The sequence below is a fragment of the Homo sapiens genome, chromosome 8 (genome assembly GCF_000001405.40).
Source record: "Homo sapiens chromosome 8, GRCh38.p14 Primary Assembly".
Classification (NCBI taxonomy): Eukaryota; Metazoa; Chordata; class Mammalia; order Primates; family Hominidae; genus Homo; species Homo sapiens.
The window spans coordinates 48,596,886-48,624,032 of record NC_000008.11 but is presented as its reverse complement, the minus strand read 5'-3'; the positions used below and the strand labels follow the sequence as shown (position 1 = coordinate 48,624,032).

The window sequence follows — 27,147 nt, the reverse complement described above, 5'->3', positions numbered from 1 at the left end:
CTCCCTGTCCCCACCCTCTATCCCCTCCGGTGGATCATCACCTTACAGCATTGCCTTCTATGAAGTCTGTGGAAGCCCCCAGGGAAGGACCCTCTCCCCTTCTGAAGGCACATTTGCATCACAGCGAGTCATGAACATTAGCTCATTCAACTCTCCAACTTTAATGAGCTTAACACGCAGCAGGGGTGCAACATTTTGGAGAGTGAATTGACTTAAATTGTCAGCTTCCAGCCTGCGTGACATCACCAGTTCTTAGCAGAGAAGCCCATGGCTCTAAGACTTCCCTGGATGCTCTTCAGGATGCATCTGAGGCCCTGAAGCCAGGCAGGACACAGTAAATTGATGCTCATAGATGCATTTTCTGCAAAGAGAGTGCAGAGTTTTATTGGAATTATCAGTGATAGATGAGCTTTTTTTTTCTTCTGTTGCATTGTAGCTATTGGATTCTAATCTTATTCAAGTTTGAACAACTCCAGGGAAAGGGCTGTTGCCTTCACCTCCTGTAGCTGATTTGGATAGACACATGGCACATTTCTCCTAAAATCTGGCTCCCCCAAGTCCTTCTTCCTAGTGCTGAGTTCTGGATTCCTGCATGGCTTTGGTCTGGGGTCCCTGTGTCCCTATTCCTCCAGCCCACACTCCAAGTGATGCAAACACTTCACTGGGAACTAGCTCCAAATAGCCACCTCAAGCCTTGCCCTGTCCTGGAGGTTTGGAGCCCAATAAGTCTGCATCCTAGGTACCAAGGTGGGTCTACAAAAACAGGAGGCCCCCAAAATGGCATCCCTAACACAACCCTATTTAAAATTGCTGGGCCTTTTAAACTGTTTTTTATACAGCCTGGTGGTACCAGTTGCATCCACAAACATTTGTGGAGCACACCTGCCAGATGCCTGCTCTAGGCTCCACATGCTGTTGTGAACAAAACAGACAAACATCTCCACCCTAATGGAATTTGCCTTTTTTTTTTTTTTTTTTTTTGAGATGGAGTCTCATCGCCCAGGCTGGAGTGCATTAGAGTGATCTTCACTCACAGCAAGCTCCGCCTCCCGGGTTCAGGCCATTCTCCTGCCTCAGCCTCCCAAGTAGCTGGGACTACTGGCACCCGCCACCATGCCCAGCTAATATTTTGTATTTTTAGTAGAGACAGGGTTTCACTGTGTTAGCCAGGATGGTCTCGATCTCCTGACCTTGTGATCCGCCCAACTTGGCCTCCCAAAGTGCTGGGATTACAGGCGTGAGCCACCGGGCCCTGCCCGGAATTTACCTTCTAATGGAGCAGGCGATAAACACAATTAAGTAAGGAAGTATCTATAGTATGTTAGCTGGTGATAAGTGCCAAGGAGAAATTGAAATAGAGAATGACCATAGTAATAAAGAGCATCATCACAAACACTTGAACAGCACATGCCACACACCAGACTAGTCTCAATATTCTCTGTGGCCCAGCACAGTGGCTCATGCTTGTAATCCTAACACTTTGGGAAGCTGAGGCAAGAGGATCACTTGAGCCCAGGAGTGCGAAATCAGCCTGAGCAAGATGGCAAGACCCCATCTCTACTAAAACTTAAAAATTAGCCAGGTGGCCGGGCGCGGTGGCTCACACCTGTAATCCCAGCATTTTGGGAGGCCGAGGCAGGTAGAACACGAGGTCAGGAGATCGAGACCATCCTGGCTAACACAGTGAAACCCCATTTCTACTAAAAAATACAAAAAAACTAGCCGGGTGTGGTGGCGGGCACCTGTAGTCCCAGCTACTCAGGAGGCTGAGGCAGGAGAATGGCATGAACCCGGGAGGCGGAGCTTGCAGTGAGCCGAGATCGTGCCACCGCACTCCAGCCTGGGCGACAGACCGAGACGCAAGACTCCGTCTCAAAAAAAAAAAATTAGCCAGGCACAGCAGCCCACAGCTATAGTCCCAGCTACTCAGGAGACAGACACAGGAGGATCCCTTGAGCCCAGGAGTTCAAGGCAGCTGTGAGCTATGATTGTGTCACTACATTCCAGCCCGGGCAACAGAGCCAAAGATAAATAAATAATAAATGTTCTGTGTGCATTTACTCATTAAAACCCTCAGGACAACTGTCTGAGGCTGGTATTGCTATGATTCCCATTTAAATACGGTAAGGGGAATACCTTGCCCAAGGTCACACAGCCCCAAGTGGTGGCCCAGGGTGAAGGAAAAGGAAAAGGAGGTATGGAGCAAGGAAGGCACTGCAGCCAGGGAAGGCCCTTGGCACGCCGTGTGTTCTGTGGTGTGCTGGCTGAACCTGGTCATTGCCAGGAACTTTATGGTTAGCTAGAACCTGGTGCCAGAGGAGAAAGCCACTCACGGGAGCCAAGGGTAGTTTCTTTCTACCTATCCACCCATGATTGTTTTCTAAGAAAGAAAGGAGAAATCAAAGAAATCACAGAATTTGAACGCTGTATAAAACCTAATGTTTGTGGAGCAATTGAAGAAAAATAAACAGTGTGGTGAAGTAAACAGTTAACAAAAGGCTAGCATATGTTTACCTAGAAGATGTGAAGAATTGTTTCCAGATTAAATGGTTTGGAATGAGAACCTCCACACCTTGAATATAAACTAAGATTTGCCAACTGTGAGAAACATTTAAAATGCTAATTACTTTAAAGGATGAGAAACCTGGAAACATGTTTTAGGGAAGAAAAGAACTGGAAGGACAATGGGCACATATAAGCCATGGTATTGCACAGGTTCAGCAGAACAATGGGCAAAAAAAAAAATCAAAAAGATTGGTCTACACGGAGACTTCCAGCAGCCCCCTCTCTGAGGCCGAGGAGTCTTGTTCAAATACTGTCTGACTGAGAGATAATTATGGGGGAAATGCCAATTCCACATTTCATATCTCTGCACTTTAGTACTGTCAGAGCCCCACGGAGACGGGATACGAAAGGAACAGTCTGACAGGCGAGGGAGGGGAGCCGTGCAGTCCTGGAACTGCGCCAGGCAATGTGGAAGTCATTGAGATTTACCAGCATCATTTCCATAATCGTTTTTGGATGCACAACAGCTGAAGATTGTGCCTGGATTCCCCTTTGCAAGCATTCTGGAGTCACAACATCGGCATAGAAGGTGGCCAGCCTTCGGCTTTTGCAGTCGTTTGTGGAGTCTTTATGGAAGAGCAGCGTGGTCAAGAGACCACGGCTGCGTAACCCCGTCTGCAGTATGTGAGGCCGGAGTGCTGACCCTGGACCTGCCCAGTCATGCCTTCTCGGTCAGCTGTTCATCTCATCTGCTACCACGGTAAGAAATGGTTTTCATAAAGCCATTTATGAGTTATGAAAATCCATTATTTTCCAACTGAGAAGGTAGACATTAAACTGCAGAATCAATGAGGCAGTAACAGTTTTGAAACCTCAGTACAAGCAGTGACTCCTTCTGCCGTGTAAGAACCGATCAACTTGGCCCATTTCCCCTTCTCTAGAACACTGAACTACAGCGTTAGATAACTAGATGGTGCCCGTGACCATGGGCCCTTTACCTGCTCCACAGTGAATGAAAGTTCACCCCAGAGCAGGGTTACACCCTGCGGAGGGCTGGGCCAGGTCCACAGTCCTCAGAGATGCCCTGAGTTCATCCAGAAGAGCTCAGCCATTTGCCTACGCCAGGCCAATGCTCTAGTCAGCGTGGAGGGGAGGGTTACGCCGTAACCACTGAGTCAGCACATTGTGGACCAATAATAGCGTAATAACAGCGTCTCTCCAACAGGGAAAAGAAATGCCCTGAAGACTGCTGGCCGTGTGTTCAGTGATTCTCACAGAGCACAGAAAATGAAACATCAGAGAAACTGCCCTTAGGCGGGGCTGGCAAATATCTCCCCTACTGGGCGCAGGGCAGACTTCACCTCAAGGTCTTCCTCCACACACATTCCACAGCCCAGCCAGTCCTCCAGGGCGGAACTCAAGATAAATCTATTCACCATCTCTGTTCTCTTGGGAGTGGGGGAGGATACGAAGCTGAGGTCTAGCATCCGGGCCAGGGCTTTCTCGGCCACGGCTCCTGGCCTGGGTGATGGTGGGAGGGAGGAATGTGATGATCAACACTCCAGTTTCTTGTCCAAGGCTGCCTGTGGCCGATGTGCTGCCTATTTGGGGAGAAAAGAGAAACACGTAGGCTTGTCTCGGGTGTTCCTAGAGGATGTGGGATGGCCACCCATGGCAGAAAACTAACTTGGTTCACTAGAGTGTGTGACATCGGGACCTGAGATCCAACTTACCAAGTGCTATCTACGTGACTTCACCCCTCAGTGTATTCATCTATGAAATGGGGATAATACTAGCACTGGAGGATAAATAAATCGATCAACATGTGTAAAGTGCTTAGAAGGTGCCTGCCATGCAGGAAGCAAGCACTGGGCACTAGCTATCGCTATCATTTCTGCTGTCCTCGATGAGTGCAACTAGTTGCTGAGCTGGGGTAGCTGAAAGTGACTGGTAGTAGAGGGGGTGAGAACAGGTAAAAGGCCACGACGCAGAGAAGCCAGAGGCCATGCAGGTTGAACTCCAACAGGAGCAGTGGCTGTAGGGGAGAGGCTTGACCCTGGAGCTGGTCATGATGTGCAGGTGGGATGGGCTGGGGGCTCCCGTGTGAGAGCACAGGAGGAGAGGCTGTGTTTCCCAAGCCTGCAAAGGGCTAGAGTGAAAAGAGACCTAGGTATGACTAACAAGGCCTGGCAACTTGGCGTTCTCCACATATGTAATTCTTCCTATCAAAGCAGGTTCCCAAACCCTGGTTTCTTCCTGCCTCTCAGCTTAACATTATCATTGCTCCTTCATCCATCAGAGAGCCCGGAGTCTCATCTTTCAGTGACTTATCAAGGCTAGACTATTCCTCAGAATCTCCACTGTGAATCAGAATACTGTTAAGATAAACGTTAATGCTTAAGTCAAAAATATTGGACTCAAAGAAGGAGTCAACATGGTAAGAGGCCCTTCTGGCGCATCATCCCAGAAACTTCGTCTGACACCCTCCACCACGGGTCCTCCACACGGGAGGGGATGCCTGGACAGTTGTGCACACAGAAACAACATTTGTTCTCACTGGTTTGCTCTGCAGTCCCAGAAGCCCACCAAACAGAGTGGGAAAAAAAGACATCTTGGGGCAAAAGACAAAGTGTGATTCGATACACTGATCTCATGTAAGCATAGTTCTAATTAGCTAAATCATTCCTTCAGCAATAGTAAAGAGAGACTGCAACAGATCTGATACTCCAATAGGCTTTGTCCAATCTGGCAGAGTGGATTCTTTATCTGAAATCATCCACAACAACCACTTTCAGAATGGGGCCAATTTTCAGACCTAAATTACCTCTGGCTCCACAGTAGCATCTGCCCATGAAATCAGTTTCTACCAAAAGCTTAAACTCTCCAGCAGCAATTATCTGGAACAGCCTCAAAACTGCATTTTTGCCATTTGAGACTGTTTTCCACAATTGCCAGCCATCTTGCCTGTTAGCATGCCTGTGGGAAGGACGGGCTGGTACTTACGGCATTGATTCCCTATTTGAAGTTGTTGTCCTTGAATCCTTTATGACCATCAGACATAACACCCAGTGAAAATGACGCCACCTGCATTTAGAATTATTCAAAACCTGCCACCTCACAGAGGAAAATTCAGCCCACCCTCAGGGATGCAGGTCTTGACTCTGTTCTGGCTGAACTGTTAACAATTCTCCTTTGCAAACTCCCAGAAGGAGACTTGATGATCTCTCCCACATAGCACTTAATGGGGAAGCAAAAACGATTTTCAACTGAGGGAATGTTTTTGCAAAGTGGAAATCAAATCCATTTGTTAATCTTCAAAAACTCTGGGCTGTGCAGATTCTCAGGAAGACACTAAGCATATGGATCACAACAGCGATGGACCCTCAGCAAATGGAGCCTGACAACTCCAGAACCAAGCACTTGCCTGGGGGAACCCCTCCCAGCAAACACTTCTCAAATGGCAAACCTGGGTCCTGTTAGCTATGCTGGCTGTGATCTACTGGTGAATGAATGCCTATCACCAATAGTTATTACAACATCAACCTTCTCTATAGAGTTTCTGAGTGATTTTTTGCACAGAAATAAGGATTATAGTTTACAACACTGCAGTGGTCCTAAGCTCAAAGTCCTCATTCTTCAACCCGAGAGTTCTTTATGTTGGTTACCCCTCAATTACATGTAACACAGGCTCCATCAAGACAGAGACAGTGTGTGTTCGCTTGATTAAAGTAAGCCCGCAGGCAACAGGATAGATTCCTAACCCCTAACTTTTACTTAAACTAAAATACACGAACAGGAAAATGCAGAAAACACATCTGCCAAACAATGTTTCAGTTTTCTCATGCCTCAAAATTATCTTCTCAGACCAGGACTGTTATTTTCTCTAATGCAAGTCCATGTGAGGGCAAAATCAGTGTTGCCTTTCCCATATGCCCTCATCAGACGGTTTCAGGCAGAACTTTCCTGCAAACACTGAGCCACACTGGCCTAGAAGGTCAGTCAGTTTGCATTAGCTCAGCCCTGACTATTCACATCGAGTCGTGCTAATTTCCATTTACCTAAGAAGTAAAGGTTTTCCAAGGCTGGTTCCCAACCCTGCTCAGATGCTATGGAACTTAGATGATTCTGTGAAAAACTGAGAAGGCTCCAGATATCTGAGACAGCTGTGGGGCATGTGCTCAGAAAGCCCAGCCTCTGTGGAAAAGCAGAGCTTTCTGTGTTTCAGTGAAAATGCCCGTGAGGTTTAAGTCCCCCCTCCTCTGAAATGACAGAAGAGACAACCAGCCACTGCGGGTTTCGACAGAGGAGGGTTAAGAAGTTGGGCAACACCAGCACCAGTGAACCCTCGGGGCCAGGAGAGCAGCAGCCTGGTTTGGTTTTCAGTCACCCACTGTGGTGGGAACAATAATGTGGGATGAGATCAAGTTCAAGAACAGTACACGCAAGCAAAAATCTCATTGTTTCTGTTATTACATTGTGAACATCTCCTCTTTTGTTTTCTTTTAAAGAGCATTGTTCAAAGGTTAAATTTGTTGGCTAAGACATCCCCTGAAAAGCTTAGTAACTTGGAATTTTGGTGGCCATAGTTTTCTGCCTGTGTGAGCTTCCCTCCAAGGTTAATCTTAAATATAGACTCTCCCTCCTCTTTCCTTCCAAATCCTCTTTTCTTTCCGAGCCTTCCAAGTACATGGTTAGGCTCCATTCCTGTTCTCAGCAGCGTATACCATCATCTCTGCCAGACTTCCTCCAGCTGCCGCCCATGAGTGCATCTGCTGTAGAGTTCCCCACTTGAAAGGTGTCCCAGAAAGCCTGGCCTCATTTTATTCCCAGAGGAATCCCAGAACCCTGGGAGACAACAGCTAACAGCTGGTCCAGAGATTGTTGTACAAACTTTTGAGGCAACAACTGGCAAATTGTAAGAATACGATGGAGTGCAGGCAGACTGGTTTGCCTGAGCTGATTCGGACAAAAGACAGGGTGGGGAAGAGGACAAGTGGCTGTGGCTGAGGATGGAGCAGGTCTCTACTTCTGTCCTGCACGTCTGTCCATCCTTAGTGCTAGGCATCTGTGATTTGTTTTCAAATTTCAATAGTTTGGGGGGTACAGTTGAATTTTGGTTACATGGATAAGTTATTTAGTGGTAGTTTCTGAGATTTTGGTGCACCCATCACCCTGAGAAGTGTACACTGTACCAATGTGTAGTCTTTCTTTTATTCCTCACCCACCTCCCACACTTTCCCCTGAGTCCTCAAAGTCCATTCTATCATTCCTTTTTTTTCTTTTTTTTCTTTTTTTGAGACAGAGTCTCGCTCTGTCACCCAGGCTGGAGGACAATGGCTCAATCTCAGCTCACTGCAACCTCCTCCTCCCAGATTCAAGCAATTGTCCCACCTCAGCCTCCCAAGTAGCTGGGATTACAGGCGCCCACCACCACACCCAGATACTTTTTGTATTTTTGTAGAGACAGGGTTTCACCATGTTGGACAGGCTGGTCTTGAACTCTTGACCTTGTGATCCACCAGCCTCGGCCACCCAAAGTGGTAGGATTATAGGCATGAGCCACCACACCTGGCTCATTGTATCATCCTTATGCCTTTGCATCCTTATAGCTTAGCTCCAACTTATAAGTGAGAACATACGATATTTGGTTTTCCATTCCTGAGTGACTTCACTTCAAATAATGGTCTTCAAATCCATCCAGGTTGCTGCAAAGGCCATTATTTTGTCCATTTTATGGCTGAGTACTATTCCATGGTATATATGTACCACATTTTCTTTATCCACTTATTGGTTGATGGGCATATATGTTGGGTCCATATTTTTGCAATTGTGAATTGTGCTGCTATAAACATGCATGTTGGGCACCCATGATATTATAATCGTTTCCATCTTGGTCACTATCTGCCGTATCATAAGCACAAAATTATGACTTCACAAGAGGATGGGCCAAATGAGAAGCAGAACTGTGAGGGAAAAGAATGCTTGTTAAAGCAAAACTATTCTCAATAATTGAGAGAGGAATTTCAGAAACTAACTCTGGCCAAGACCTTTTTTTAATATATGTTCTCAGCATTAGAGCTGTGTCCAAACCATCCCTGCTGACACATCCATGACAGCCTAGGATAAATAAGCCTTTGAGAAACTGTCTGAGGAGTGACATGGGAGCTGCCACCAGACCTTCCCAGGGAGCTCCTTGACTTCCCATGCCCACTACCTTCCCACCATAAAGGTGGGCCCATTTGCTTTTGATTTTGAAACTAAAGCAAATTTAGTTTACAGAAGCCATGTCTCAGGGTGGAAAATAGCTCATCTCTACTGGAAAACACTGACAGGCCATTCAATTCATCACTGAGCAAAAATCAGCATGAGAGTATCCAAAATGAAGCGGCAGAAGGAAGGAATTCACAGGCACATCAGGAAAGGTCGTGTGGCAGCAGCGTTTGCTCCGCAGCCCGAGAACTCCCTCCAGACCAGCAAGAAGAAATGAAGGACAGTCAGCCGGCACTGCCACTCAGAGGACTTGGTGCAAGGAGAAGCCGCGGCCAGCACTGGTCCTATTGCCCATGCTCCAGTAGCTTCTGCAAGCTATGGGATCACCAGTCCCATTGCTAATACGGGTTAGCATAAACATACCTTATCCAAACAGAGAAGAAAAGACACAGAGTATGTATAAATACATATTATAGATTCATGATACGTAAAGTGTGTCGATAACCTAAAGATTTCTTTGCCAGGCATGGTGGTTCACGCCTGTAATCCCAGCATGTAAGGAGGCCAGGGAGGGTGGATCACCCAAGATCAGGAGTTTGAGACCAGCTTGGCCAACATGGTGAAACCCCGTGTCTACTAAAAACACGAAATTAGCCAGGTGTGGTGGCTGGCGCCTATAATCCCAGCTACTTGGGAGGCTGAGGCAGGAGAATCGCTTGAGCCTGGGAGGCAGAGGTTGTAGTGAGCCTAGATCAGGCCATTGCACTCCAGCCTGGGCAACAAAAGTGAAACTCCGTCACACACACAAAAAATAAATAAAAATAAAAACCAAAAAAAGTAAATAAATAAAAAAGATTTTGTATAAAAATATGAAATTCAGGCTAGACAGCAAGCAAAGAATGTAATTCACTTGCAACTAACATTTCCCCAATAGTGCATTAAATGCCACCAGGGCTCAACTCCTGATCCCATCATCATAAACAGAACAATGGGGAAAGTACAGATTTTAGTTTTATACATACATATTGGACGCAGGCACCAATAGATCTGATAGCACATGCTACCTGTGCCTTTGACACACAGGGTCATCCAGACGATTAAAAGAATCTCACTGAGTTTCCAAAAAGGGCAAAGAGTTCGGGAAACTCCTCCGCCCCAACTTGCGCCCACCCACTGAAATGGAGCTGTCCCATTTGCACTGAACACCTCTGCAAAAATTTGTGGTTGGAATCATGTATGTGAAAAGAATGCCACCCTAGGGGACTTAGGAATTGCACTCTGGATGGAGGACGATGTGGGAAGGAGCCAGGTGGTCTTGTGGGAGATGATGCAAAAAGTGAGATGTGGTTGCACAGGAAACACTTCCTAAAAGTCAGAAGAAAAAGTGTGTATTCAGCAGCCGGGGGAGGGTGAGAGGAAATAACTCACAAATCTGAATTGTGTCCTACAATACAATATATTCCATCCTGATCAACCAAATAGCTGGCAGGAAAAGTACTTTGACTTTTATATCCTTTTCTCCAGACAAAGAGCTCTGAGTATGGCTGTGTATTTGAATAGGTGCGCTTGCAGGACAGCTGCTGAGACGCAACCCTGTGCTTGCAGCAGAAAGAGCTGATACTAATCCTGGATCCGCACAGAGCTGCCTGTGGGAGCCACACACCGAATGCCAATGTAAAGCCCACCTCAATGACAAATCCAAACTCACATTGTGTCACACGTTCTACAGACATCCAACAGGAATGGAAGACTTTTCTAGAATCTCCAAAATACTGCCTGGGTTCAACTCACCTTGACCAATTACTACCTTAGTTACTCTCAGCAAATAACTCAATCTCTCTATGAATCAGTTTTCTTATCTGTAAAATGAAAAAAAATAATAGTCCTTACTTCATGGGGTGGTTGTGAAGATTAAGGAGTTAATAAGTGTAAAGCACTTAGGAATGATCTCTTGATAAATGTGCTACTGTTGTTGCGGGACACAGTAGGACTTATTTCAGTAAATGATGGCTGATGTTGTTGTTGTTATTGTTACAAGAAAACCCCTCTCCCTCCAGCAACAATGAACAACAATGAACAACTATTCTTGATCTGAGAACACACACCCACTCAGAGTAAGCAGGCTGTTATAAGCTCCAGGCTTCACCGTATCTGTCACTTTCATATTTGTTCTTTAAGAGATGATCCCAAACTTTCCACACTTACTTTTTCTTTTCTTTCCCCAAGATGGAGCCTTGCTCTGTCGCCCAGGCTGGAGGGCAGTGATGCAATCTTGGCTCACTGCAACCTCTGCCTCCTGGGTTGAAGTGATTCTCCTGCTTCAGCCTCCCAAGTAGCTGGGATTACAGGCTCCTGCCACCATGCTTGGCTAATTTTCATATTTTTAGTAGAGGTGGGGTTTTACCATGTTGGCCAGGCTGGTCTTGAACTCCTGACCTTGTGATCCGCCCACCTCAGCCTCCCAAAGTGCTGGGATTACAGGTGTGAGCCACTGCGCCCAGCCTCCACACTTACTTTTATTAACACGTCCCCGATTAACTTGCAAACTCCACAAAGTCAATTTCTTTTTATACCTTTCTTGATTTGCCAGAAGTGTGGTCAACAAGTGAGGGGGAAATGAAATATTTGGTTATAGAATCTTCATATCCCTCACCCTGCTACAGAGAGGTAAAGGGACCATGGCAGAACCCTTATGTGAGGAAAGGGAAGGAAGCATCCTGTGATTGCCAAAAAAAGTTGGATTTGTCTGTAATTGACCAAGAACCTCTTCGTGAATCTAACGCTTGGCTTCTTTGATTAATATGTTTTCAATACAATCTACTTTCAGCTTCAGAGGAGAAATTGACAGTGTCCAAATTTCTGCCCAATTTCCTAATCTGTTTATAAAGGTTTATATACTATTCATTTTTGACTAAATTTTTATTGTGAAATTTGTAGATTCACATGCAACTGTAAGAAGCACAGCAGAGAGATACCTGTTCCCTTTATGCAGATTATCCCAATGTGACACCTTGCAGAACTATAGTACAATAGCACAGCATGATACAGACATGGTACAGTAGAGACACAGACATTTCTGATATTAGGACACCACGTTTTGACATTATGTAGCCACGCATCTATTTACCTGTCACACCCACTATCTCCCTAATCCCAGCCAACCACTAATCTAATTTCTGTTTCTATAATTTCGTCACTTCAAGATGTCAAACAGATCTCACTTTTGGGATTGCCTTTCTTCACTCAGCATCATTATTCCTGGGAGATTCATCCAGATGGTTGTGTGTGTGAACAGTTAGTTCCTTTTAATTATGACTTGTGTCCCATGGTGTGGACTTGCCCCAGTTTGTTAAGTCATTCAGTCTTGAAAGACATCTGCACTGTTTCAAGTTTGTGACTATTACAAATAGAGCACTATGAACATTCCCATACATGTATGCATATAGGCCTTCATTTCCTTAGAATCTGTGTCCAGAAGTGCACATTATGAGTTGCAAGCCACCTGCATGTTTAGCTTCTTAAGAATCCACCATGCTGTACAATTTTACATTCTGTCAGGCAATGTGTAAGTGTTCTGAATTTTTGCCAGGATTTGGTGTTGTCACTATGTTTTACTTTAGCTATTCTGATCAATGTGTAACAGTATCTAACTGTGGTTTTAACTACCATTTCCCTAATAGCTAATGATGAACGTCTTTCCATGTGGTCTTTTGACACACATGTATATACATATCCTCTTCAGTAAATTGTCTTTTCCTCTCTTTTGTCTATGTTTTAGTTGTTCATTTTTCCATTATTCAGGCTTATAGGTGTTATGAATTTCAGATATTCGCCCTCGGTTAGATACACGGCTTGCAGATATCTTCTTTCAGCATGTAACTTGTCTTTTCACCCTTTTAACAGGGTCTTTCACAAAGAAAAAAACTTTTTAAGTCCAGTTTACCAATTTTTCTATTTATGGGTCATGCTTTCTTTGGTGTCAAATCTAAGAACTCTTTGCTTAGCTCTAGATCACAAAGGTTTTCTCCAATTTTTTTCTTAAAAGTTTTAGAGTTTACATCTAAGTCTGTGATATATTTTGAGTTAATTTTTGTACAAGTGTAAGACAGTCCAGAGTACATTATCTTTTGGCCTATAGATACTCAATTAATCCAGCGGTATTTGTTGGAAAGGCTATCTTTCCTCCTTTGGATTGTTTTTGTTACTTTGTTAAAGATCAGTTGGGCATATTTGTGTGGGTCTATGTTGGGGTTCTCTACTCTTTTGCCTTGATCAAAATGCCCATCTTTCTACCAATATCCCACAGTCTTGATTACTTAGCTGTGTGGTGCATTTTGAAAGCAGGTGGACTGATTTCTCCTACGTTATTCTTTTTCAGAATGGTTTTACCTATTCCAGTTTCTTTGCCTTTCCATATAAATCTTAGACTAATCTTGTTGCTATCTAGAAAACATCTTGCTGGGATTTTTATAGGAATTGCATTAAACTTGTGTATCATTTTTAGGAGAACTGAATTCTTATCACATTGAATTGTCCAATCCATGAACTCAGTCTATTAAGATCTTCTTCGGTTTCTTTCATCAATATATGTACTTTTTATCATTCAAGTCTTGAATTTTCATTTTTGACTGAATGTGAGTGATATTTTAAAAAATTTTATTGTCCACATGTGCACTGCTAGTATGTAGAAATACTACTGATTTTTAAGCATATCATATTGCCTATGACCTTACTGAAGTAACTTATTAATTCTAAGAGTTTTACTGTAGGTTCTTGAGCATTTACACACAGACAACCAGCAAATAAGACAATTTCACTTCCATTTCAACCTGTGTGTCTTTTACTTTTTCTTCTTGACTCTTACACAGGGTAGAACTTCCAGCACTATGCTGAGTAAGAGATTTAAGAGCTAACATCCTTGTCTTTACCTCTGATGTAAAGTATTCAGTCTTTCTTTCATCTTCAGATATAATGTTAGCTACGGGCCTTTTGCACAGGCTCATTCTTGATCAACTTGAGAGAATTTCCCTTTATTTCTATTTTTCTGAGAGTTTTTATTACGAATGGCTGTTGAATTCTGCCAAATGTTTTTCATGATCATATGTATGCTATTGTAAATTTGTTCTGTTGTTGAGGAAGATTACATTGATTTTGAATATTGAACCAGTCTTAAATCCCTGAAATAAAACCCTCTTGGTGACAGTCTGCAATTTTTCTGATACGTTGCTACGTCTCATTTGCTAATGATTTTGTTAAAGAATTTTATATTCCTTTATCCCTCTGTATGCATGAGGGACAATGGTTTGTAGTTTTTTTCTTTTTTGCTCTCTTTTTCTGGTTTTAGTATAAAGGTAATACTAATTTCATGAAATGAATTGAGAAGTGTTCCCTCCTCTTCTATTTTCTGGAAGAGATTCTACAGAATTTATATTAATGCTTCTTTAAACATTTGGTCAACTGAACCAGTGAAATCACCAGGCCTGAGATTTTTTCATGAATCCAGTTATGAATTCAATTTGCTTAATAGTGATAGGATAATTCAAATTATTTATTTCATATTGGATGAGTCTGGGCAGTTTGTTGTTTTTTGAGGAATGGGTCCATTTTATCTAAGTTGCAAAATCTATGTATGAAGAGTTGTTTATGGTATTCCTTTACTATCCTTTTGATGTCTGTAGAGTCTAAATGATGTCCCTGCTAATCTGTGACAATGACATTTGTGATGTTGGTAACTTGTGTCTTCTTTCCTTTTCCTTCATCAGTGGTGCTTGGTTTGTCAGTTGCATTGATCTTTTCAAAGAACCAGCTCTTTGTTTCATTGATTTTTCTCTGTTATTTTACTGTTTTCAATTTCAAGTGATTTCTGCTTTTATCTTTAGTATTTCTTTCTTCTGTTGGTTTTGGCTTTCCTTTCTCTTCTCCTTTTTGTAGGTTCTTGAAATGAGATCTTTCTTTTTTTTTTTTTTTTTTTTTTTTTTGAGACGGAGTCTCGCTCTGTTGCCCCGGCTAGAGTGCAGTGGCGCTATCTCGGCTCACTGCAAGCTCTGCCTCCCGGGTTCACGCCATTCTCCTGCCTCAGCCTCCTGAGTAGCTGGGACTACAGGCGCCCGCCACCACGCCCGGCTAATTTTTTGCATTTTTAGTAAAAACGGAGTTTCTCCGTGTTAGCTAGGATGGTCTCGATTTCCTGACCTCGTGATCCGCCCGCCTCAGCCTCCCAAAGTGCTGGGATTACAGGCGTGAGCCACTGCCCCGGCCAGAATGAGATCTTAAGTTACCAATTTAACATTTTCTTCTTTTCTAATGTATGCATGTAGTGCTATACATTTCCATTCCAGCACTGCCTTAACTGAGCCCTAAAAATTTTGATATGTTGTATTTTCATTTTTGTTGAAATCAATGTACTTTTTCACTTCACTTTTGACTTCTTCTTTGACCTATTTAGAACATGCTGTTTAATTTCCAAGTGTTTGGAGATATTCCTGTTGTATTTTTGTTTTTAATTTCTAGTTGTATCCAGTCATGGCAGGGGAACACTCAGTATCACCTCAGTTCCTGTACCTGTTGAGGTTTGTTTTACAGCCCAGGATATGGTTTATGTTGCTGTATAATCTTTTGGCACTTGCAAAGAATATGGATTCTGCTGTTGTTGGGTGGAGTGCTCTACATATGTCAATTAGATCTTGTTGGTTGGTGGTATGGTTCAGTTATTTTGTTTCTTTATTGATTTTCCCTCTATTAGTTCTATCGAATGTTGAGAGATAGGTATTGAAGCCTTCAACTATAATTAAAGATTTATCTATTTTTCCTTTCAGCTTTATCTGTTTGCTTCACATATTTTTCAACTCTATTTTTGGTATATTTGCCTTCTTGGTAGATTGGCCCCTTTTATCTTTATGTAATTTCCTTCTCTGTCTTTGCTCTGAGACATACTTGATCTGATATTAATATAGCCACTTCTGTCTTCCATAATTAGTATCTGCATGACATTTTTTTATTATTTTACTTTCAATCTGCCTATAAAGTAATGTTTGAAATGCGTATCTTGTAGACAGCATATAGTTGGCCATATTTTTTAATCCACTCTTCCAATTTCTGTTTTTTATTTCAAATATTTAGACCATTTATATTTAATTTAATTATTGATATATTAGGGTTTAGGTCTGCCATTTAATTTTTTTGTTTTCAGCTTTTTTCTGCTTTTTCTTACTGTTTCCTTTTTCCTGCCTCTGACTTTTATTTAAACACTTTTTATAATTCCATTTATTTCTTTTGGTAAAACTTTTAAAGTGGCTTCTCAGCCAGACATGGTGGCTAACACCTGTAATCCCAGCACTTTGGGAGGCTGAGGCGGGCGGATCACAAGGTCAGGAGATTGAGACTATCCTTCCTAACACGGTGAAACCCGTCTCTACTAAAAATACAAAAAATTAGCTGGGCGTGGTGGCGGGTGCCTGTAGTCCCACCTACTCGGGAGGCTGGGGCAGGAGGATGGCATGAGCCCGGGAGGCGGAGCTTGCAGTGAGCCTAGATCGTGCCACTGCACTCCAGCCTGGGTGACAGAGCGAGACTCTGCCGCAAAAAAATAAATACACAAATAAATAAAGTGGTTTCTCTAGGTACTACACTATATACACAAAATTTATCACACCCTTATTGGTGCCATCATTTTACCTGTTCAAGTAAATTACAGAAGTCTTACCTCCCTTTGTGTCTCTTTACCTTCCCCCACTTATAAAATAATTATCATAAATATTTCCTCTTTAGATTTCAAACATAATTTGGAAAACTCAAAGCAATAAAGAAAACCTATTCTATGTATCTATATTTTGGCTTACGATGTTCTTTCTTTTCTCCTGATTTTCTGAGTTTCCTTCTCTTATCACTTCCATTCTGTTTGGAGAACTTATTTTAGCCATTCTTTAGGTAGGTTTGGTGGTGTCAAATTCTCTTGGTTTCCCTTCATTTGAAAATGTTTTGGTTTTCCCCTCATTCCTGAAGAAAATTTTCACTGGGTTGGCAGTTCTTTCCTTTAAAAACTTGAAAAATATTCTGCCACTTCCTTATGGTTTACGTGATTTCTGATGAGAAATTCTTTGTCACTAAAGTTGCTTCTCTTCTGTGGGTAAGGTGTTGCTTTCCTCTGACCACTTTTTAATATTTTTTCTTTGTCTTTAGTTTTCAGAAGTTTAATTACGATGTGTCTCAGGTGTTTGCTATTTGAAGTTATCTCAGCTTCTTGAATCAGTAGATTTATTTATGTTGCCAAATTTGAGGAGATTTTGGCAATTGTTCTTTCAAGTGCATTTTTCAGCTTCACCCTCTTTCTCCTCTCCTTTTGGACTCTGATAGCACGAATGTTAGATGTTTTGTTATATTCCCATGGGTCCATTTTTTTTTTTTTTTTTTTTTGATACAGAGTCTCACTCTCACCCAGGCTGGAGCGCAGTGGCATGATCTCAGCTCACTGCACCCTCCGCCTCCCAGGTTCAAGTGATTCTCTTGCCTCAGCCTCCCAAGTAGCTGGGACTACAGGCGTGTGCCACCACACCTGGCTAAATGTTTGTATTTTTAGTAGAGACAAGGTTTCACCGTGTTAGCCAGGATGGTCTCAACCTCCTGACCTCGTGATCCACCTGCCTTGGCCTCCCAAAGTGCTGGGATTATAGGCGTGGGCCACCACGCCAGGCTGGGTCCATTTTTTTCACTCTATTTTCTTTCTGTTCTTCAGATTGGTTAATTTCTCTTATTTTTTCTTCCAATTCACTGATTCTTTTCACCGCTCACTTCCTTCTGCTATTGAGCCCATCCACTTCAGTTTTTTTATTTTTAAGTTCTGACATTTCCATTTGGTTCTTCTCTATATATTTGCTGAGGTTTTGTTTTTTTTTTTCACTTTTTTCAAGTGTGTTCAAATTGTTTATTGAAGCATTGTTGTCATGGCTACTTTAAACTCTTTTCAGATAAATCTGATATCTCTGTCTTTAGGTGTTGGCATCTGTTAATTGTCTTTTGTCCTTCAGTTTAGGATCTTCCTGGGTTTTTGAATGGTGGGCAATTTTCAGGTTCAAGTGATATTTCCTGTCTCAGTGGGGATATTTGCATTTTGAGCCTGGGTGTTCCGATTTAGCTGAATTTCTTTTTTTTTTTTTGTCAGCACTCCCACAGGGGAAGAGGGCAGGATGCAGCCTCATTACTACCAGGTGGAAGTAGAAGTTCTTGTTCTTCACAGCACCTCTGTTGGCACCTGAGGGCAGGGCAGGGGGGTTGTTCCTAATCACTGCCAGGCAGATGTGGGAGTTTCAACTTTACCTATGATCTCCACTAGCACCACGGTGGGGTAGGGGTGGCCTCATTCTCTTTGGGCCACAGTGAAAGTCCTGATGCTCCTCCAGTCTTCTTCTGATACCACCCCAGCTGGTAGAGGGAGGAGCCTCATTACTGCTGGGTGAGAGTGAAAGTCCAGGCTCTCCACATGGTCCCACTGACACGGGGTGGCAGGGGCTCATTACCAGCTGGCAAGAGTGAAAGTTAAGGAATCCTATTTGGCCTCCTCTGACACCATCCAGGCAGGAGTGTGGAGGTGCCTCATTACAGCCTGCCAAGTGCAAGAATTCAGGCTCCCTACTCAGCCCTTGCTGGCATGAGTGGGGTTGGGCCCAGCTTGCTCAGTGGCATTTGGCTACAATAAAGCTGTATTGTCTTGAAGTTTTCTGCCTTGGTGCCCTTTTCCTGGCTTTGGTTGGAGAGAGCATGCTTCTTTTGGGGCTTTTTGGTCTCAGCCTATTACTGTTTCCAGTTTCCTGGCTTCTTCAGCTCCAAGTCTAGGATATATGGGGCCAAAAGAAAACCCAGGGAATTCATAACTATGTCTTCTCTCTTGTCCCAAGACCCATAGTAGGTTTGCCTTCTCTCCTCCATTCACAGTCTCCTTATGATTGGCTCATGTATAATGTCCTGCGTTTTTAGTTATGTTTAGACAAAGGAATGGGGAAAAGTATGTCCACTGCATCTTCCTGGAAGCAGAAGCCTCAATTCACATATTTTTAATCTCATGATTAAGTATTTTTAATCTCATGACTTTTAGTAAAACTTAAACTACTAAATGAAATGACATTATATGGCCATGGCAAGATAATTTAAATTTCCTGGGTGCTCCTTTTGTCTTCTCATTCCCTTCTCGCCTTTACCCACTCCACCCACCGCTCAGACTACAATAAACTCTGCCATTGACCCTCCCATCTCCACCCTCCTCCAACCTCTCCTCCAGATGCTGGGGACTCTCTGCCCTTCACTGGATCATAACTCCTGCAGATGTCTGACTTAGCATGTCTGCAATAACTCACTTCTCTTCTTTTCCGGTGATAACCTGCCACCCTTCCTCCCACCATTTACCGATCAGAAAAAGCTTCAACTGGAGAAACAGAATTAGAGTGGACTTTTGAGGACAGATAGAACTTGACAGGCAGAGATGGAGAGAATAATAACAGCATTTAGGTATGTGATTATGATATGTGTTCAAATGCTATGATTATGTTTGACTGAAGCAGAGCGTGTTCATTCACCAAGTCCATAAATGTGTAAATGTCTATTAAGTATCAGACACTATTCTAAGCACTAGCTTAGAATACTGTCTGATATTATTAATAATAATTAATTTATAATAATAATATTAGAATAGTGTCTAATATTAGTGGCTTCAAAAAGCAGATGGAGGTCCCTGCCCTCACACAGCAAAGTTTAACAGGAGAGACAGGTATGTTTCAAGTGAACAAACTAAAAAAATCTGTAACAGTGATTCTATTAAATAATTGCTCTAAATAAAAACAGATGGTTATGAAAGAGAAAGCTCAAGTGGGCAAAGAAGTGTTATTTTGAGTTGGATATCAGGGAAACATCACTGAGAAAGTTACCTTAAGGATTAGCAGGCACCAGGCAGATAAAAAGTGGAGAACACGGCGTTTGGATGGGCTCTGTGTGAGGCAAGATTCCTGTTCTACACAGGCCAGCACAGTAGTGGAAGCAGGTAGAAGGGAGATTTGCTTAAGATAAGGCGGAGCAGAAGGCAAACCAGATGACCAGGGGGCTACAGAGCAGGTAGAGGCTGATTCGACTGCAAGTGCGATGGGAAACCACTGAAGGTTTTAATCAGGGAAGTAACGTGATCCGATTTCATTATAAGGGAAATAGTAGACAATAGAACTGGAAACATACTTTGGGAACACACTGTGGAAAGCCTTCAGTGACAGTCCTGGGAGTTTTCACCTAATTCATAAGACAGTGGAGAGTTTTCAAGGGCTTTATTTTTTTAAATAAACACTTGGTTCAAGATTTATTACACAACAAATACATATTATAAAACAATCAGAAACAAATAAGCAAAAAGAATATAAACATAACCCATAAGCAAACCAGTCAGATAGAATCCATTGTAGTGCACTTTGGAGTTCTCTCTCAGGCAGCTTTCCATGCATATACTAAATGGTATGATTTAATACACTATCATATGTTTATTAGTATACATAAATACACATTTTACAAAAGGAGGGTCTTGTGGTCTTACTGAATAGAGTGTTTTGTAAACTTCTTTTTCCCTTTTCATGATGTATTGGGAACATGTGTTTCAATAAAAACACTTAAAATGGCATCATTTTTAATGGCATCATTTTTAATGGTATGTATATTTCATAATTGATCCAATTAAACTCAAATGTTCAACTTTTACGTTTCTTCAAGTTTTCTCTGCTGTAATTAGCCTGCACTATAGTTGGTGTCATCACAACAAAGTGTCTGCATAAATCAATAATCAATTTTTAGAATATTTTCCTGTAAGTGTAAGTGCCACGTAAAATGTTGGTGAACATGTTAAGGCTTTTGATGCATCCGATCACATTATCCTTCACAAAAGTTGTGCGAATTTATAATACCCCTAGTGGTATAGAAATGTGCCACCTTCCCAAAAGCACTGGGTGCCATCAGTTCTTTTTACTTTTGTCATTTGGTAAAGGGAAATGGCATATCATCACTAGATTTTTTTGTATTTCTTTGATTACTAATGAGATTGAACATTTTCAATTATTAGTTACTGGTCTTTGTTTTTGCTCTTTTATACATTTCTTGGCCGTCTTTTACTAATTTTTATATTGGTAGATTTATCGTTTCCTTTCTATATGTAGATATATATTTAATAAATATATTTTGATTACACATACTTAATATTTACACCTATCCATATGTGAGACATTTTTTCTTTTCTTTTCTGTTTTTTTGGGGTTTTTTTTTTTTTTTTTTTGAGACAGAGTCTCGCTCTGTTGCCCAGGCTGGACTGCAATGGCGCAATCTCAGCTCACTGCAACTTCCACCTCCCTGGTTCAAGTGATTCTCCTGCCTCAGCCTCCTGAGTAGCTGGGATTACAGGCATGCACCACCACACCCAGCTAATTTTTGTATTTTTAGTAGAGACTGGGTTTCACCATGTTGGCCAAGCTGGTCTCAATCTCCTGACCTCAGAAGAGCCACTTGCCTCAGCCTCTCAAAGTGCGGGGATTACAGGCATAAACCATCGCACCTGGCCATGAGACATTTTTTCTGTGTCTTCTTATAAAACCCTTATCTGACATATGATGCAAATATATTTTCACAGTTTGCAATTTTCCTTCTGTGATATTATTTTACCATAGAAAATGTATCCTTTTTTATTATTCATGCATTTCCTTTATGATTTCTCCCTTAGAAGTCATACTTAGAAAGCCTTTTGCCCCACAGGCCCATGTAAGCTCACATTGTGATGACTTTATTCCTTCCACATAAGTCTGGAATCCTTCTGCCCTGTGGTATGAAATACACTCCTGTCTTGCTTTTCCACACGTATTTCCCCACAGACTTGAAAGGCACACTCCTGACCATACAAACTTGGACATGCTCCTCAGCCTGTTTCTCCACTGTCTGTGTTGGGCCATTGATTTTTCTGTTTATTTCTCAGCCGCTAATGGATTGTTTGAAAGTTCATAGTTAGTCCACGGTTCATTTCAATATTCAGTAGGGCAAGTCATCCTTTTCTATGTTTTTTGTCAAAATCGTATTAAAAGTTTTGTGTAGATGAACAACAAGCCTGGAATCACGCGTGGGAATGCCAGCCTCACATGACATAGAAGACAGAGAAGGAGGAGGCGGGCACAAGCGGGACCCCACAGCCAGCAGCCCCCTTCAGGTAGGAGGTCTCAAAGGTAATTTGCATTCTGAGCTTAAATCCCCAACTGATGATGGGGCCAAAAATCTCACTGACCTCCTGTGATGATCTAAGGGCTCATTCATAAGTTCTGAGGGTTGTGATTATCGAGCACCTGTGAGGGTTTGCTGAGCTGCCAGCCTGGCAGAGCATGCAGCTGAGCAGTCAACCAGGGCAACATTTTTACTTTGCTGTTAGTCTACAACTACAGGACAGAAGTTATTCAAATTTTTTAAAACTTGTACAGCAAAAACGAAAGAGTAGGAAACTCTGGGGACCTGTCCCTCCCAAAAACACTGAAAAATATGACAAAAAGGCCATATGACAAAAAGCCAGAACCACATTATTGTGTGATTCCATTTATATGAAATGCCCAGAAAAAGCAAATCTATAGAGATAGAAAGCAGATGCGTAGTTGCCTAGGGCTGGACAGAAGCGGCAATGGGAAGAGACTGCCTAATTTATGGGTTTTCTTCATGGGACAATGAAAAAGGTCTTGAACCACATAGTGGTGATGGTTGTGCACATGGCTAGTGTGTACCACCATCAATGCCACTGAATTGTACACTTTAAAATGGTTAAAATGGTTAATTTCATGTTGTATATATTGTAACACAATTTTAAAAACAGTATTATATAGATTCATTGAAAATATCACACCTAACAATCAGAATAAAATTCACACAGAACGTATATTTTTATATATATTTCATGTGAATTATATATACCTCTTTATACATAATCCATGTGAATATATATCAATACATTTCTTGAAAAGTATGTAATAATTCACTTTTAATAATCTTCCAATGAAAGAGGCCTTTTAAAATTACTTCATATAACCCAGGAGACATAAAAGAAAATAACCTTGTAGCAATTTTAATTATAAAAAGTTGTGTACAAAAAAGAACCACTCTAAGTGAGTACTTAAAGTGTACAAAAAAGAACCACTCTAAGTGAGTACTTAGAGTGTACAAAAAAGAACCACTCTAAGTGAGCCACTTACGGTGGCTCACACCTGTAATCCCAGCACTTTGAGAGGCCAAGGTGGGTGGATCTTCTGAGGTCAGGAGTGGGAGACCAGCTTGACCAATATGGTGAAACCCTCTCTCTACTAAAAATACAAAAATTAGCCAGGCCTCTGCCATGTGCCTGTAACCCCAGCTACTGGGAGGCTGAGGCAGGAGAATCGCTTGAACCCGGGAGGCGGAGGTTGCAGTGAGCCGAGATCATGCCATTGTACCCCAGCCTGGGCAACAGAGCGAGACTCTGTATCAAATAAATAAATAAATAAATAAATAAATATAAATAAATTTTAAAAATTTACAAAAAAATGTCAAATCAACCTTTCAGACTGCTGGGAGATAGCCAATGGTTTGCAGCAACCAAGTGAAAGCCCAGCTAGGACAGAGGCGACCAAGACCCTCGCTGCAGCCTCAACTGCCCTCCTTGGCGAGGTGGCTGCTCCCATGCCTGGGGTGAGTACTGGGCTCCGAGGAAGCAAACCAGACCCGGATCTCAGGGAACTGTGTCTGTTTTGACCCGACGGGGATTTCCTGGGTCACAGGGCTTGTCCTTGCTTTGCCTATCTCGGAGTGATCAGGGCGGGTGGCTAAGAGGACAGGGCTTCCCAGAACAGCAGAAGTGAGTGAGCAAGCTACTGCTGCCGGGAGCAAAGAGTAACAGCTGGAGTGGACAACAGACGCGCCCAAAGCCTGGGAGGAAAAACCAGCCTGTGACACCTCGGGTAAACAGGGCCTCTGAAAAGTTCCTTCTATGCGATTTTAGCAGTTCCTCAACAAGTAGACATGAAATTACCATATGATCTCACAATTCTACATCTAGGTACACAGCCAGGAGTACTGACAAGAGGTGTTCCAGCAAGAATTTGTGCACCAATGTTCATAGCAGCCCTATCCACAATAAGTGGAAACAACCCCCATGTCCATCCACTGATGAGAGGATTTTAAAAATGTGGCATAGCCAGAAGATGGGCTATTAATCAGTCATACAAAAAGGAAGTACTGATACATTCTACAACATGGATGAAATTTGAAAACATCATGCTAACTGAAGAAGCCAGAACCACATTATTGTGTGATTCCATTTATATGAAATGCCCAGAAAAAGCAAATCTATAGAGATAGAAAGCAGATGCGTAGTTGCCTAGGGCTGGAGAGAAGCGGCAATGGGAAGAGACTGCCTAATTTATGGGTTTTCTTCGTGGGACAATGAAAAAGGTCTTGAACCACATAGTGGTGATGGTTGTGCACATGGCTAGTGTGTACCACCATCAATGCCACTGAATTGTACACTTTAAAATGGTTAAAATGGTTAATTTCATGTTGTATATATTGTAACACAATTTTAAAAACAGTATTATATAGATTCATTGAAAATATCACACCTAACAATCAGAATAAAATTCACACAGAATGTATATTTTTATATATATTTCATGTGAATTATATATACCTCTTTATACATAATCCATGTGAATATATATCAATACATTTCTTGAAAAGTATGTAATAATTCACTTTTAATAATCTTCCAATGAAAGAGGCCTTTTAAAATTACTTCATATAACCCAGGAGATATAAAAGAAAAATTAATAACTTTGTAGCAATTTTAATTATAAAAAGTTGTGTACAAAAAAGAACCACTCTAAGTGAGTACTTAAAAAAGAAGACTAGCGGCCAGGCGCGGTGGCTCACCCCTGTAATCCCAGGTCTTTGGGAGGCTGAGGTGGGTGGGTCACCTGAGGTCAGGAGTTCGAGACCAGCCTGGCCAACATGGTGAAACCCAGTTTCTACTAAAAATACAAAAATTAGCTGGGCGTGGTGGTGCATGCCTGTAGTCCCAGCTACTCAGGAGGCTGAGGCAGGAGAATCACTTGAACCCGGGAGGCAGAGGTTGCAGTGAGCTGAGATCGCGCCATTGCCCTCTAGCCTGGGCGACAAGAGCGAGACTCTGTCTCGAAAAAAAAAAAAAAGACAAGCTAGGGAACATAATTGCATTTCGCAAACATAAAAATGCTAGTTTTTCCAATAAATACAATACTCTTACAAACCAACAACCAACAGGTCAAAACAGAGTAGGAAAATGTGGGGGGAAAAGGAAGAATATACAAATGCCCTTCAAACATTTGGAAAGAAGGCTTGACCTCTCTTCTAATAAGGTGATGTCAAATAAAATTATATTAAATTGTTTTTCACCTCTCTCATAGAGATCAAAATTTGGATAATGGTCAGAACAAGGATCTTTGAGGAAAAAAAATTGGGTAACATGGTGTGTCAGTGAGAGATTGTGGGGATGTCATATCTACATTGCTTCTGTGCTGCTGGTGAGGCTGCTAACTGGTCATACCTCTATAAAAGCAGTTTGGCAAAATACATACAAATTACTAATGCATGTATTTTTTGATCTGGCAATTTTATTTCTAGGAATTTTCACACAGAAATACTCTAATACATGTGAGATGACATATACACATACTTGTTATTATAACACTATTAGTAAGATCAAAATGTTGGAGACAGCCATAAGTATACATCATTAAAGGACTTTTAAATAATACAGCATATCATACAATAGAATATAATGCAGCTGTAGAAAGGATGCAAGGAATGTTTGTGTGCAAATATGGAATGCACTTGAAAATATATTGCTCTTACAAGGGCAGAAGAGTGTGTACAGTATTTTTACCACTTATATAAAGAAGGAAGAATACGAACATGAATTAACTTCCTTTGTAGAGATGTAACCTATTTCTGAAAAATATTAGAAAAATTATAGAACTGGCTGTTTCATAGGAAGGGAATTTGTGTCAAGACAAGAGTGGAAGAATACATTATTTAAACTTTTGTACGTTTTGAATTTGGAACTCTATGACTGTGCTACCTACTCAAAACAATTTTAATGACTATATATATTTTATGGAATCCCCTTACAAATAATGCAAGTATTTAACCAATGCTCGCTATTAATGGTTGCACCATGATAGACTTAATGGTGAAATCATATACAAATTAAGACCTTATTGAGTAGCATTAAGTGGACCTCATTCAAAACAACTGCTCCATGTGAAAATTTTTGAATAATTTACCATGCTTTGATATCATTAAATACAAGACTTTTGCCTTTTACTCATCTACAGTGTAGAGATCACTCTTCCATGTCAGCTAAAGTTGAATCCCAGTTGGTTCTTACTGAGGGACCCCGAGGGCAGGTCTGTAGATGGGTGCAGGTGAAGCGGGTCACAGCACACTACAGCAGCCAGGAGGTATGGGCTTCCCAACACCAGGGCCACTGCCCCCTGCCAGATGTGAGCTGGCACTGCCGCCTTCCTCCCCGTGCACTGCATGGCTCTCCTGTCCTCTAACCACCCAGAGTGCCAGCAGGACTCCAGTGGAAGTCAGCAGATCAGGACTGAAACCTGGACTCCTAAGAGCTGCTGAGAACACGTTTTCTTCCAGGCACCTCACTAGACATTTTATATAGTTAGCCATCATTTAATTTACCCAGTGACATCAGCATAAGGTACATATCATTTTCCCTGTTTTTCACAGGCAAATACTTGGACTCAAGAGCAAGGAATGTCCTGAAGACTTGCACAGGGAAAAGTATTGGAGCTTGGATTAAATACAGATTAACAACAACAACAACAACAACAAAAGCCAGGCTCAGAAAGACAGGGACAAAGAAACAGAAAGGAAGTTAAAAACAAACCACAGGACTGAGTTCCTTCATTTCAGGGTCTAATGAGGGCTGGCGGCCGTAGCCATTCTAGAATTCCCAACATGGAGTTCCAAATTTTCTAGAAACAATGAAGATCTAGTATTTTCAAGCTTTTATCAGCTTATATTACACTCTCAATGATAATTTTTTTTAATTCTTTAGTAGCACACCAACTAACACTAAAGTAAGCCACCTGGCCAAGCGTGGTGGCATGTGCCTGTGGTCCCAGCTACTTGGGAGGCTGAGACGGGAGCATCCCTTAAGCCCGGGAGGTCGACGCTGCAGTAAGCTGTGATTGTACCACTGCACTGCAGCCTGGGTGACAGAGAGATACCATTTTAAAAATAAAAATAAAAAAAATTAAGCTACTCAATTTGCAGGAGATCATGCAAAGGTAGACAGAGCAGGCTGGTCACTGGAGCCCAGGGCAACCTGCAGACAGATGCACCTGCAGACAGACTTTT

The 27,147-nt window shown here is 42.0% G+C and overlaps 3 long non-coding RNA genes across 3 annotated transcripts in view; 1 reads left to right on the top strand and 2 right to left on the bottom strand.

The window, feature by feature from the left end:
* The window catches only part of LOC101929268 (uncharacterized), a 146,944-nt gene that overhangs the window by 74,478 nt on the left and 45,319 nt on the right, over positions 1 to 27,147 (bottom strand). The gene's annotated exons all lie outside the window — the stretch shown is intronic.
* On the bottom strand, positions 138 to 3,630 carry LINC03054 (long intergenic non-protein coding RNA 3054). The gene is made up of 2 exons (NR_105004.1): positions 3,504 to 3,630; positions 138 to 361 (listed from the first exon to the last, which is right to left on the bottom strand). It is a non-coding gene; the product is annotated as a long intergenic non-protein coding RNA 3054 (long non-coding RNA).
* LINC02847 (long intergenic non-protein coding RNA 2847) lies at positions 3,062 to 26,947 on the top strand. The gene is made up of 4 exons (NR_187517.1): positions 3,062 to 3,265; positions 21,804 to 21,925; positions 23,297 to 23,421; positions 26,515 to 26,947. It is a non-coding gene; the product is annotated as a long intergenic non-protein coding RNA 2847 (long non-coding RNA).